The 12,936-nt window shown below is 38.6% G+C and overlaps 1 protein-coding gene and 1 long non-coding RNA gene across 4 annotated transcripts in view, besides 1 other annotated feature; one reads left to right on the top strand and one right to left on the bottom strand.

Moving 5' to 3' along the window:
• Positions 1-4,617, top strand: part of LOC105378329 (uncharacterized) — a 33,332-nt gene extending 28,715 nt beyond the window's left edge. The window contains exons 3-4 of the long non-coding RNA XR_001747467.3: positions 303-395; positions 4,531-4,617. This is a non-coding gene — a long non-coding RNA (uncharacterized LOC105378329). The remainder of the gene's footprint in view (positions 1-302; positions 396-4,530) is intronic.
• Positions 1-12,936, bottom strand: part of REEP3 (receptor accessory protein 3) — a 103,728-nt gene that overhangs the window by 28,730 nt on the left and 62,062 nt on the right. For all 3 annotated transcript variants that reach the window (NM_001001330.3, XM_011539501.3, XM_017015896.2), the window contains exon 3: positions 1,545-1,621. In NM_001001330.3, the coding sequence (NP_001001330.1) occupies positions 1,545-1,621 (77 nt within the window). The remainder of the gene's footprint in view (positions 1-1,544; positions 1,622-12,936) is intronic.
• Positions 7,296-7,590: a silencer, noted in NCBI's record as "tiled region #5662; K562 Repressive DNase matched - State 14:Gen5'". NCBI's record gives its function as "represses a minimal TATA promoter and a strong SV40 promoter by Sharpr-MPRA in K562 cells {active_cell/tissue: K562}" and the evidence as "EXISTENCE:reporter gene assay evidence [ECO:0000049][PMID:27701403]".

The raw sequence follows: 12,936 nt of genomic DNA, 5'->3' as shown, positions 1-12,936 counted from the left end.
AACATATATAGGCTACATTTGCAATCAGAAAAAAATGAAGTCTTAAAAAGAGAACTTGGAAACTTCGATGTAGCACGGTTGGGGATCTGTGCTCTGTCACTTAAAAACAAAGAGACCCCCCACAACCAAACCCCTATACCAAAAATATAACAGATAAATGAATGAGCTTTGGGGCACAGGAAGGGAAATTTTTACAGTATTTCAAATCAGAAGACAGATACAGTGACGTTTGCAAATAAGGGAAGGTTGTTAAAAATATTTTAGTATGAAGACTTCTATTTTTTTTCTTGCAAATCCAATAGGACCTAATGTGCCACATGAACAGGAGAAGAGCAAAATGGGAAAGACAGCTTAAGGAGAGAATAGTAAAGGTTTGAAACAGACCCAGACAAAATGTAAGTAGACACTGACCAGGAGCAAGTAAAAAGAATGAGGTTCAAGCTGATACCTATGTGAGCAGCTGATTAATTTTTTCAGCTGAATTTAGCAGCCCAGTTAAAGAAGTAAAAAAGAGTCATTTTAGCTGGGTGCAATGGCTGATGCCTGCAATCCCAGCACTTCGGGAGACCGAGGCAGGCAGATCACCTGAGGTTGGGAGTTCGAGACCAGCCTGGCTAACATGGTGAAACCCCGTCTCTATTAAAAATACAAAAATTAGCCAGGCCATGGTGGCATGTGCCTGTAATCCCAGCTACTCGGGAGGCTGAGGCAGGAGAATCGCTTGAACCCGGGAGGTAGAGGTTGCAGTGAGCCGAGATCGTGCCACTGCACTCTAGCCTAGGCAACAGAGCAAGACCTTGTATAAAAAAAAAAAAGAAAAAAAAGACGAGTAATTGTTAGGCTAATTTAGACAGAAGGTTTGTGCGTCAAGGGCAGATGAAGATATCAGCAAGGTAGTAAACCAAAATATTTTGAAAGGAGAAGTTCTCAAAGTGATTGCAGGGTTTAGATGGAAATGCACTACTGAAATACACCACAGGGAGATTTGAGTTGTCCAGTTAAGTACTGCTCCTTGGTAAAATGTCAAATCCCTGAGGATATAAACACACTTTAATTTTGCCTCGTCTATTTGGAACAGAGCAGCCAGGAAGCTAGTGCTGAGTGGGTGTCCACGTGGGTGCTGACGTTTTCCAGTTCAAATGTTTGTAGATGAGAGTTTTAAGGATAGGATAGGGAGGGGTGCTAAAACCAGATGCTGTGGGCTTCAAAAGTGGAGTCATTTAGGAAGTGATACAGGAAAATGTTCTGAAGTCATCAGTGCAGAAAAGGATGATGACAATCAACTTTCCCTATTCCAAGATACTGGGGGAAGGTGTGTGGGAGGTGAGCAGGGAGCGGCGTATGGGGAGGAAAATGAGCTGCCTTTATTTGATGGGGACTAAAAGGAAAGTAGTGTTCTATGGGAAAGCAGATGACAAAAACAAATGGGTGGATAATTAGGTAACCTGATGAAAATCACTCAGTTAATAGCAAGAGCAGGATAAGAACTTAGGACACCTGATTATGAGTCTGTAGTCTGGCCCCTTCTCAATAGTAAAACTTACCAAGCAACTGTTTGATCGGCTACTGTTTCAATCACAGTATAGAGAGCAAAAACAATCCAGTACATCATCCATCGAACCTGGAAATAATAAAAATACTCATGAAACAACAGATGAAAATTATTTGCAACTCTGAATAATATGTATGTATGTATGTATTTCTGGATTTCATAATAATTTCATATTATGTATGTATTTCTGGATACATAGTATGTTGGGTCAAACGCAGAAAGTGATGGTTTAATTTTCAACAGGTTTTATGTTTGAGTTCTTTACATTACTACATCAACAGTCTTGGGATAGCAGGAGCAAAGATTAACAAATCTCTGGGACTTGATACAATATAATCTAGGAATCTAAATCAAGGAATTGGGAAAACAGGAAATATTTTTCTTAATTGGAAGAAAGTTCTTTAAAAGACGTTATCTACTTGCTTCTTTATGAAGACTATAAGTTATTTATTTATTTTTATTTTTTGTAGAGACAGGGTACGCTGAAGTGCAGTGGTACAATTACGATCATGACTCACTGCAGCCTTGACCTTCCAGTGCAAGTGATCCTCTTGCCTCAGCTGCCCGAGTAGCTGGGACTACAGGTGTGCACCACCACACTTGGCTAAATTTTTTTTGGTTTTTTTTTTTTTGTAGAGATGAGGTTTTGCCATGTTGCCCTGCTGGTATCGGACTCCTTGGGCTCAAGCTATCTGTCCGTCTCGGCCTCCCAACATGCTGGGATTGCAGGCATGAGCCACCATGCCTGGCCTTAGCTATTTAATTGTTACATAAATAATATAGTATAAGACTATATTTAATCTTTATTAGTCTTTAAAATTTTATATTCCTTATTTCCCAATATATATAAATTGTTCAGAAAGCAAACAACAATCCTGGGCTTCTTACTTCTATTAATGATGCAGCCATAATGCTAGTTACCCAGGTGGACAGCATAAGGTTAATCTTCTTCCTCTTCCCCTGATGTAAGCCTGTAATCTCTCACACATCTTTCTCCTTCTTCCACTCTAATTCCACAATGGTAGTTCAGGACGTTTTAATCTCTTCTGAGTCAGGGCATGCTGAATGGTCCCTGGCACTCTGCCTTCTCTTGGGACCTATCCTTCTCATAGAAGCATGCCAGATTAATGTTTTCTGAGTTAATTCTCCCAAATTTATATTTTTTCATCGACCTCAGTACACAGAGTTTCTTGTCTCTCAAGTGCACTGGAGTTTCACGTACGATTAAAATCTCTGCTTTTCTGTGTAGTAATAACAGCAAATACACAATGCCATGCCAACCAGGGGGCGAGGAATTACGTTGATAAACATATAACATAAATTAATTCATTTAATCCCTGTAACAACCTTTACAAAGTAGGAAATATAATTAATTCCATCATCGATAAGAAAACAGTGGCACAGAGAGGTAAAAGAGAAGTCATTTGGGTAGGATTTCTGTCCAGGTTGCCTGACTCTGGAATTGCTTAACCCATTATACCAGGCAGAGAGAGAAGATGTGAGAAACTGCCCAATGTAGGGTCCAAGGATGACTACCACTTTCCTTGTTCTCACCTCATGAGTGACAAAAAAATTTAGGTCCTTATATATAACTGGGAAATTGACCTATTAGTTTTAATACAGATGCTTGTTTGGGTATTTCGCAGGCAATATAAAATGATAACTCAAATAGCTTTTTCAATTGTCTATTTACATGAACAACCCAATAGAAAATAGCCATGAATAACTTCTGAAGCAATTGTAATGTGAAATATGAATACCCGCCTCGGCCTCCCGAAGTGCTGGGATTACAGGCGTGAGCCACCGCGCCCGGCCCCTCCCTACCTGTTTCTAAAAGAGGAAATGATGCTCTTGTATGAGTTCATTCCCTCAGTCCTTCCAAATCCAAACACTAATTTAGTACTTTCACTTCTCAGCTGTATTCATAAGGTTTTTGTTTTTGTTTTTGTTTTTTGAGACAGAGTCTTGCTCTGTCGCCCAGGGTGGAGTGCAGTGGTGCAATCTCGGCTTACTGCAACTTCCACCTTTCTAGTTCAAGCAATTCTCCTGCCTCAGCCTCCTGAGTAGCTGGGATTACAGGCGCACGCCACCATGCCTGGCTAATTTTTTTGTATTTTTAGTAGAGACGGGGTTTCACCATGTTGGCCAGACTGGTCTCGAACTCCTGACCTCAGACAATCTGCCTGCCTCAGCCTCCCAAAGTGCTGGGATTACAGGCATGAGCCACCGCGCCCGGCCCATAAGGTTATCTTTTAGAGTCAATCCTGACTATAGGCCTCCCTCCTAAAAAGAAACGAAGGAAAAAATGACTACAAACTGAACCGTGTGCTTTTTTGTTAAGCTAGCAGGGATTTGGGGAATCATCATGCTTTTTTAAACTAAACAACCCTTTACCGAAAACAAAAAACAAAAAACCCTGTAAATACATTACAAGAGAAACTGTTCTGGCTGAGTCTCTCATTTATACTGCCCTAGACTCTTGGGGAGACTCTAAGAAACCCTTGTGTTCTATGAGAAGGGTTTGAAAATAAGTAATATGGTGAACTCCTCTCATTTTACAAAGGGCCAAAATCAATAAGTTGCTCAAGATCACTGCACTAGGAAATGGCTGAAGGAGGAACAGTCCACCTTGAAGCCCAAAGGATGCAGCTTTTTAAACAAGCGGCTGCCATCAGACCAGTCTCTCCAGTTCTCTAGGATTTCCTGGCTCTCTCCCTCTCCAGTACTCAGCACAGAGACCTCAGTGTACATATTATCACCTCCTTTCCCAGGAAAGTGGAGGCTTAAGTGAAATATGGCTCACTTCACAGAAAATTTAATAAATTCACAGAAAAATAAAAGCATTTAAGTAACTACTTTCTATTTTTCATTATTTCACGTTTTCATTATTTTACAACTGTGTTGATGGTTGTGATCTTCCAAGGGGATAACAACTATAAGTAATGCTCCACAAATTGTTTTAATTTACTTGTTAATAGGGTTGAGTAGAGGCAAAAGGACTGTACAGACGGTAGCCATTTGCTGACATTCCCTGAATGACGAATTGTGGAATGAATTAGAGCTGCTGCACATTCTGAAGATTTCAAAAGTAGCTGTGCTTCAGTTAAGTGCTTATTCAATTTTCAGATGAAGTCATCAAATTAATTTTAAAACTCACAAAATAAATATGTGCTTTAAAATATATGTTTTTTCCTAAGAAAGTAAAAATTATCTGTTTAGGTTGTGAGAATATTTAATAGTGTCAAAAATAAAAGAGAGAGAAAAGGCTTCAACTTTTAGTTAAATACCCAACAGCAAACTATCTAATCAATAGGGTATTTCTAGGCATTTTCCTGGTGAATTGACTACAGTTCTACATATGCAAACCCCATGGCTTTAATTTGTCTTTAATTAATAAATTCTTTGACAATTTGGTCTCTTGAACCTATGATTTTTTTTGTTCTCATCAGAAATATGAACCTTAAATATAGTTGAATACAGGCAAAAATTAAATAAATTCAATGACCATGTATTATTCATGGAAGCAACCATAAAGAAAGTTAACCTTGAAAATATATTGCTTTCTTTTTTTCCATTAATGTATTTGGTTGGGAGTTTATACCAAATGATTACTCAGTGATGCTTTTATTAAAACTACACCTCAAGGCCATTCAGCCTGCTGTTTAAGGTTTTGCTCAAAAGAAATAGCAGAAAGAAGTCAAGGTCAAAAAAAAAAAAAACAAAAACAAAAACACAAAACCTAAATGTATGTGAAGATAAAGGAAATATTCTTTAGATCAACAAAAAACATTGATAACAGAATGTAGTATTAATACCAAAAAATTGAAAGGAAACCAATACACTATCTTATAAACATATGTAACCAAATATAATATAAAGAATTGCTGTTAAAATATGTAAATAGAAGTCAGTAATTTATCAAGTGACTTTAATAAATCACAAATCACCTTTTAAGCTACTGGGAAAAAAGGTTACTAACTTTATTGATAGAAATATATTATCGGGGAAGTGAGAACAAATCGTATTTCTTTCCAGTTCGGAAACAATTGGTAAAATCAACAAACTGTTGTTTAGATATCTTCACAAGAACAATGAATAATGAGAAAGCTATACCCAATATTTCCTTAAAAGTCCCTTTGGCCCTTGTCAATCTACAAGTCCCCCATTCCCAGTGGTGCACAATTTCAACCCAGATGACAGTTCATTTTCAGAAAGGGGGCTTGTATTATAGGAGGCTCACATAACATAGGAATTGCCTGAATATTCTGCACCTCCCTTCTATGTAGCCTAGTCGATAACTATACACAAGTCAAGGAAAAAAAAAAAATTTCCTTGATCCCAGAGAACTTAATTATCCAACAAGGTGAAGTTTACACCTATAAGCACTAAGATGGGGACACATGCACATATACCCTCCTTTTCATTAATCTTTCATGTAAAACATAATTTAGTCAATTCTTGAGGACTCAGGTGGCAACATTAAAAATAACACTCACTGATTCAACTGTAAGCAAATCCTACCTGCCTCATGGCATGGGAATAGAAACATAAACATGATAGTTCCATTCTCAAGGATTCAACATTTCACTGGGCAGAAAAACAAGTAAATAACCATGATTTTTAAAATGCGTGAGTGCACCTGTAGTTCAAGCTACATGGGAAGCTGAGGTGGAGAACTGCTTTGGCCCAGGAATTCGAGGCCAGCCTGGGCAATATAATGAGATCCCGTCCCTAATTTAAAAAGATGTTCTGGGCCAGGTGCGGTGGCTCACGCCTGTAATCTTGGCACTTTGGGAGGCTGAGGTGGGCGGATCACTTGAGGTCAGGAGTTCCAGACCAGCCTGGCCAACATGGTGAAACCCCCTCTCTACTAAAAATACAAAAATTAGCCGGGCATGGTAGTGCGTGTCTGTAATCCCAGCTACTTGGGAGGCTGAGGCAGGAGAATCGCTTGAACCCAGGAGGTGGAAGCTGCAGTGAGGTGAGATCATGACACTATACTCCAACATGGGCAACAGAGCAAGACTCCGTTTCCAAAAAAAAAAAAAAAAAAAAAAAAAAGATGTTCTGCTGTTCTTAGTACATTAGACGTCCTAGCTCCCAGTATGGGTCAAAATCCCAATATTTGGAGGAAAGCTTACTAAAGGGATTATTTATAAATCTGTGTGCAAGGTTCAAGAACACCAATAAAGTATAGTGGCGTGCCCCTGAGCAAGCCACTGCAGGAACTGGTATTATATCTAGGTGAGAAGGAGGTAGGGGAGGAAAAGGCTTCCTGGAACCCAAAGATGGTAAGCAGGTGAGAGCCACGGTCACAGCTAACTGGTGGTGGCAGTGAGGGGGCTAGGAGAACAAATATTGTGACCTCATGCTTTTCCTGTCTTCTGATCTTGTGCAGGGGCCTCTCATGGGCCAAACCCAAAGGAGGCCAGAGATGATCCAGCCTGTATAGACCAGTCTCCTGGGCCATAAGCAGCCGGGCAGAGAAGTATGGAGAGTGGAGGAAAAGCTCCACTGGAGGGGAAAATAGAAGGTTCCAGCACTACTAAACCTGTTAGCCCTTTGAAACACCCAGAATAGAAATCATTTTTCATTACCTCGTCAGCTCAAATGACCATCACCTCCTGTCTGGATTATTTCAGTGGCATCCTAACTGGTCACTCCATTTTTTTGACTCTATTCTGCATACAACAGTCAGGGTGCCTACTTAAAACAGAAGCCAAATCATGCCATTCCTCTGCTCAAACCCCTCCCATGGTTCCCAATCATTGCTTACTATAGCCTGGAAAGCCCTGTGTATCTACGTGGCTCCAGCAATCTCTCTGCCCTCACCTGCTACTGCACCTCCTGTTCTGTTCTGCTTCAGCCACACCTGCTCTTTTACTGGCCCTGGTATGTGCTGATATGCTCCTGCCTCGAGGCCTTTTGCATGCTGTTTCCTTGTCTAAAATGCATTTCCCCCAGTTATCCATGTGAAGAGCTTGCTCACTTGCTTCAGGTCTGTGTTCGAATATCTCCTATCAGAGAGGCGTTTCCTGACTACCCTCTTTAAAATATCAAAATCCTAACTTCCTTATTCTGCTTTATTTTTCTCTTTAGCATGTATCACATATCATAAGCACATCTAACAAATATTTGCTTTCCCCTCTTCCTCTGCTTTTTCCCTAGTAGAATGTAAACCCCATGATGACAAAGACTTTTATTTTGATCACTGATGAATCATCTGTGCCTGGCATAAAAGGTGTAAATAAATGTATGTTGATGGATTGGTGAATGAATGTGGGAATGCACATAGCTTAATGTGTTCCTTTTGGTAAGAACTGCAAAAGGCTAGAAAGTAGATAGGAGGTAAAAACATGATGAGTACATATAAATTAATCTTTTAAGATATCTTTTTTTTTTAAGGAGAAGGAATAAAAAATAGCATGAAGCAACACGAAAGCATGTTTATGTTCTCAAGGATTTAACGTTATACTGGAGAGATAATGAGATTCAAATTATGAGAAAGCAGGAATATTTAATGGAACAAGATCCTGGATGAGATAGACAAGAATAAGATTAGGAACACAGAGGGAAAAGAGTGGGCTCAAGAAAGAAGCAGGGATACCTCTTCCTCTGGGACAGATAGAAAGGAAGAAAAGAGTGGCTGTGTCCAGAAGAGAGTTGAAGGGTTCATGGGTTAGGCCCTCTACCTTTACTCTGCAGTAGGCGGCATATTAGCTGTTAAGGCTGGACATGAGTGGGAAGGTGAGTGGATTTCACAACAGCAGTAAATGTTTAGAAAAGATGTTTTTAAGGATGGGAAAGGGAGCTGTCTAGGGAAGACCTGGAACAGACTATGACCAATGGTGCCTTCACCAGTTCTGGGTGCTGGTGCAAGGGCTATAATGAAAGGTCTAGGACAATGAAACAAGTATGAAAAGTCTAGGACAATGAAACAAGAGAAGTATGGATATGATGTACTGCTGTCCATAAAAGGTAGAATGACAGAGTGTGGCTAGAAAATGGCTGAGCCAGGGCCTGGGTTCCTCAGCCCCTCTTTGCAGGTAGATGAGGAATCTGTTGAGTTCTCACCAAAAGAATATGAGGTGAGGCTTTTGAGAAGTGGGGGTGTCTCTTCCACTTGCTCTTCCTTCCTACTGGCTGGGATGGCAGGGAGCAGAGCACCCTTGGAAGCTATGTGTTGAAGATGGGTAGAATCTGAGTTTTCAAATATTAATAGTTGTGTGGGGAGAACTTCTTGATGAAATGAGCACCTAACCAGGACTTTTATGTGAAAAAGAAATAGATTTCTATAGTTCTTCAGTCATTGCATTATTGTTACATACTATGATCATAGCGGCTTAGCCTACCGCAGTATAAGAGGTTACACTAATCTCTGTAATAATGAGAGAGCAAGGCCACAGCAGCAGTGGTTCCAGAATTAGTTAGGCACTGGTCATAGTACTATTAGCTGCCATCTGTGGCAGGGCTAATGCCCGGACTGGTCGTGACAGTGCTACAATGATTGAGAAATGGAGAAGGGGACCACATTTTAAGCAACTGTGGTTGAGATATCCTCAGGGAAGTATTTTGGAAAGAAATGAAGGGTAGGAAGGATTGATGTTCTCATGCAGCAGACAGAGGCAGAGCTAGAGGAATACCATTTTAAATTATTATTGTGATCCCTTGGCAAGTGTGAAGTCTGTGTGAATTTGTTAGCTATCATCTGCATTCAGTCTACATGGTTTCAGCAGCAATCCTCTTCTACTTTCAATAGGCCAAGAAATCAGATAAATGAACTTGTTAGAAATAGGCACAATATTTCAAGTAAATATATTCTGAGTGGGAGGCCAGTGAATAAAATGCAAAAAAAAAAAAAACATGCATAAACGTCAGTAGGAAAACTCTATAAACAAAGATGTTTGATGTTTTATTTTGCTTACTTTGTTTTCTTTGCCAAGAGTGTATCTAATGCCTTGTACAGTACCTGGCACAAAACAGAAGCTCAAAAATACTTATTAAAAGAATTAATAAGCCGGGTGTCGTGGCTCATGCTTTTAATCCCAGCACTTTGGGAGGTTTAGGTGGGAGGATTGCTTGAGCACAGGAGTTCCAGACCAGCCTGGGCAACACAGCAAGACCCCATCTCTACCCCTACCATAAAAAATTAATTTTTTAAAAAAAGAACGAATGAACTGGGTTAACTTAACAAGTGAGATTATAATTTCCATTTTTTTTCTAATTATTTGGTAATAAACTTCTCTTGAAAGTGGTCACAATGAAATGGCAATCATTTTCACTACTGGAGCACTTTACCTACTATATTTTTTGTGACTAAAGAAATGTGATGAATATTTTCATTTAAAATAAAAATATATAAGTAAAATAATCCTCAAATGGAATCTTAAAGTCATTTAAAAATCAAAAGAAATTGATTTTCCAAGGAAATATGCTCTTATAATTAGGCAAGTTCTTTTGAAGAATATGGAGTCATCTGCGATATAAAGTCATAGTATTTAAAATTACATTCTGATTTATATAGTGCATGGATCAGATTAGCCTACTTAACAAGCCAGCACTTGCTTTATTATTACTCAAATCCATAAGGCTTTTATAAAGACTTAGCATTTCAGAAATCCAGACGGTCATGTGATAGAGTTCTTAGCTTCACTCTCTCAAAGGAATTAGAGGATATTTAAAGCTGGAGTGAATACTGTAAAATGAACATACTCCTAGGCTAAATTTACTATCAAGAAAACCATGCTTCATTTAATAGGTATGCATTTACCTACCCTAATGCCAAATGAAGAGTTAGCTTCATTTCATGATCTCTTAACATTTTCAATAAAACAAGATTCTATGATTTACATTCTTAGAGAAAACTTTTATGAAATTGATTTAGATCCCAGGATAAACAAATAAAGCAAACAAAAAGTAAGCTGCAATTGTAAAATGATCCTCAGGATTTCCATCACAGAAATTGAGAACAATACCCAGGCCCCAAGTATACAAGGAAATATGGTATGGTTGGAGGTACACTGCTGTAGATTTATAAGAGCCATAGATAATAGCAGTAATGGCATATTAACTTCAAAGTATTTTTCTTAAATGATACCTTTATATAACTTGTTATGCTATGACCAGTGAGACATTATGATAGCAATGATAAAGTTAAATGTTATAATTGTAATAATTTACACTTGTATAATAAAAAGAAAAAATGTGATATATTAATTTGATAAACATTACTTAGGGCCTACTACAAACAAAACCTTTGACATGAGATAGTCATAAACCTTGATGTCAAGGTTTTCCTACACCCACAAAGCTTTCATGGGGGGATTAGTATAACATAGAAGGATAAGAATAGGTGATTACCAGCACAATGTCTGATTTAATATATAACTACTAGTATTTTATTACATTACATATTATTCACTGCCTTGTATAAATAAAATTTCTTTACTTCCAAAAGAAAGCCTTTCCTAATTACCCTGACTCCTTCCAGAGATCATATATAATCTCTGTGTACCGTACTTTTCCTTTGTAACATATCCATATGGTTGGTTTATGTAACAACCACCCCTGCCATTTGACTGTAACAACAAATAGGGATCAAAAGTGCCTTGTTCATCTTCATATTCTCAGTACCTAGCACCCTGTGCCTGGAAAGCAAGCACAGAGGATGGCTTCCACTCTTACATTTTAAGGTCTGAATTGATACACAATCCCAACAAGTAACTCTGAACTGCAAGCAGCAGTTTATCACATATAAAATAGCCTATTTTTTCAAAGTTAACAGAGTTTAAACAACTCTTCAAACTCTCTTAATTACAGACTCTTTGAATTATGAAGCTATTAATGCTGGTCTTTAAGAAAAAATGAAAAATCACACATGCCTAATGATTCACTTAAAACCATACTAAGTAAATCCAGAGCATAACATGTTAAAATATGCTTCACTGGAAAAAAAAAATCTCTGCTGAGTCTAAAAAGAAATAAACACTGCTGAATTTCAGACCACCCAATGAGAACTTTATTTTCTGACCATTACTTGTTACCCACTCAAGTCAATTCACCCAAAACATTCATTCTACACCACATTTCAGAGACAACAGAGAGATCCTCTGATACAGATTTTTTTAGAGACAGTATAGAGTTGAAAAGATCTATTCCCGATTCACTAACTTATCCAATAATTTGGTTACTTCATAATGATTCCCCCCCCACTCCATCATTAAAAACAAAGAGGAACAAAATGTGAGAAATCAAATAGAAAAGCTCCCTGTTTTATCCAACCCAGATGGCTTGGTTACGGGATTTTTTCTCAGAGCTGTGCCAAGTTAGAGGCATGGTTGAAAAAAAGCTATTTGAAGTTAAATCCAAAGTGACTAGAGACTGTGGCTGAAAATAGTTTTTTTTTTTTTTTTTTTTAAAAAGATGGGGCATGTGTTGGGGGTGAATATGTTAGCTTAGGATTGATGTGAGCTCCCTCAACTTTGGGGTACTTCTCCCCCCATGCCCATCTAAGCAGGTTTTAACTGTCAGCACCTCCCCAGTACACCAATGACTTGGGAGTTCTACTTTCAGATGCGGAACTGGCAGCAACATTGTTTACCTGCAGTTTCTAATTATCACTGCCAAATACCTCACAGAATATCCTGTTGCTCTGAAGGAGAAAGCCTCACATTATATAAATGTATCTGGTGTTACAGTGAGTTAAAATGGGGCCGACTGTATATAGAAATGGATACCTCTGTCGCAACATTGCACTGGTCTTCCCCAGTGCCCTTGAATCAGAGAAGCCTTATATATCTCAACCCTGACCTCAGTAGAGTCTAAGAAACTTGAGAGATGGGAAAGTACAGATATGTTAAAAAATTAGATGATAATTAATTTAAAAGAAGTGTTAAAGATGCAAAAATCAGGAACTGCTTAAGGGAACTGTTCCCAGGAGCAGAATTTAGGAAGGAATGACTTCTCAGTCCCAAAATAACTCTCTCCATCAACACTGGCTGAGAATTCATACTTCACTTTTTATATTATTTAAAGTTCTATTGATTTATTTGGGATAATAAGCATTTGTAAGAGACACAGTTCCCTTTTAACAGGACCACACAGAATTTCTCGGGATTTTAGCATGGGAAAAAAGACTATTCAAATATAGACTGGACTACACAGCCATCCTACTGGTTATCTTAGTTCCCATACCAAACTGTCATCCTACTTCCTTCTTTCTCTTGGTCTTGGTCCCACTTCTTAGGCACCTAGGCCTTATCTAACTTCACACAGTCGACTCCATCTGGCTCCTTCCACAAAGGACATTAACCGAGCCACCAAAAGAGATGCTTCATTCTCTAGGTGTCTGGCAAGGCTATGGCTGACTTAGTAAATGAAAAATT

The sequence above is a fragment of the Homo sapiens genome, chromosome 10 (assembly GCF_000001405.40).
Source record: "Homo sapiens chromosome 10, GRCh38.p14 Primary Assembly".
Taxonomy (NCBI): Eukaryota; Metazoa; Chordata; class Mammalia; order Primates; family Hominidae; genus Homo; species Homo sapiens.
This window is presented reverse-complemented; position numbering and strand designations above follow the sequence as displayed.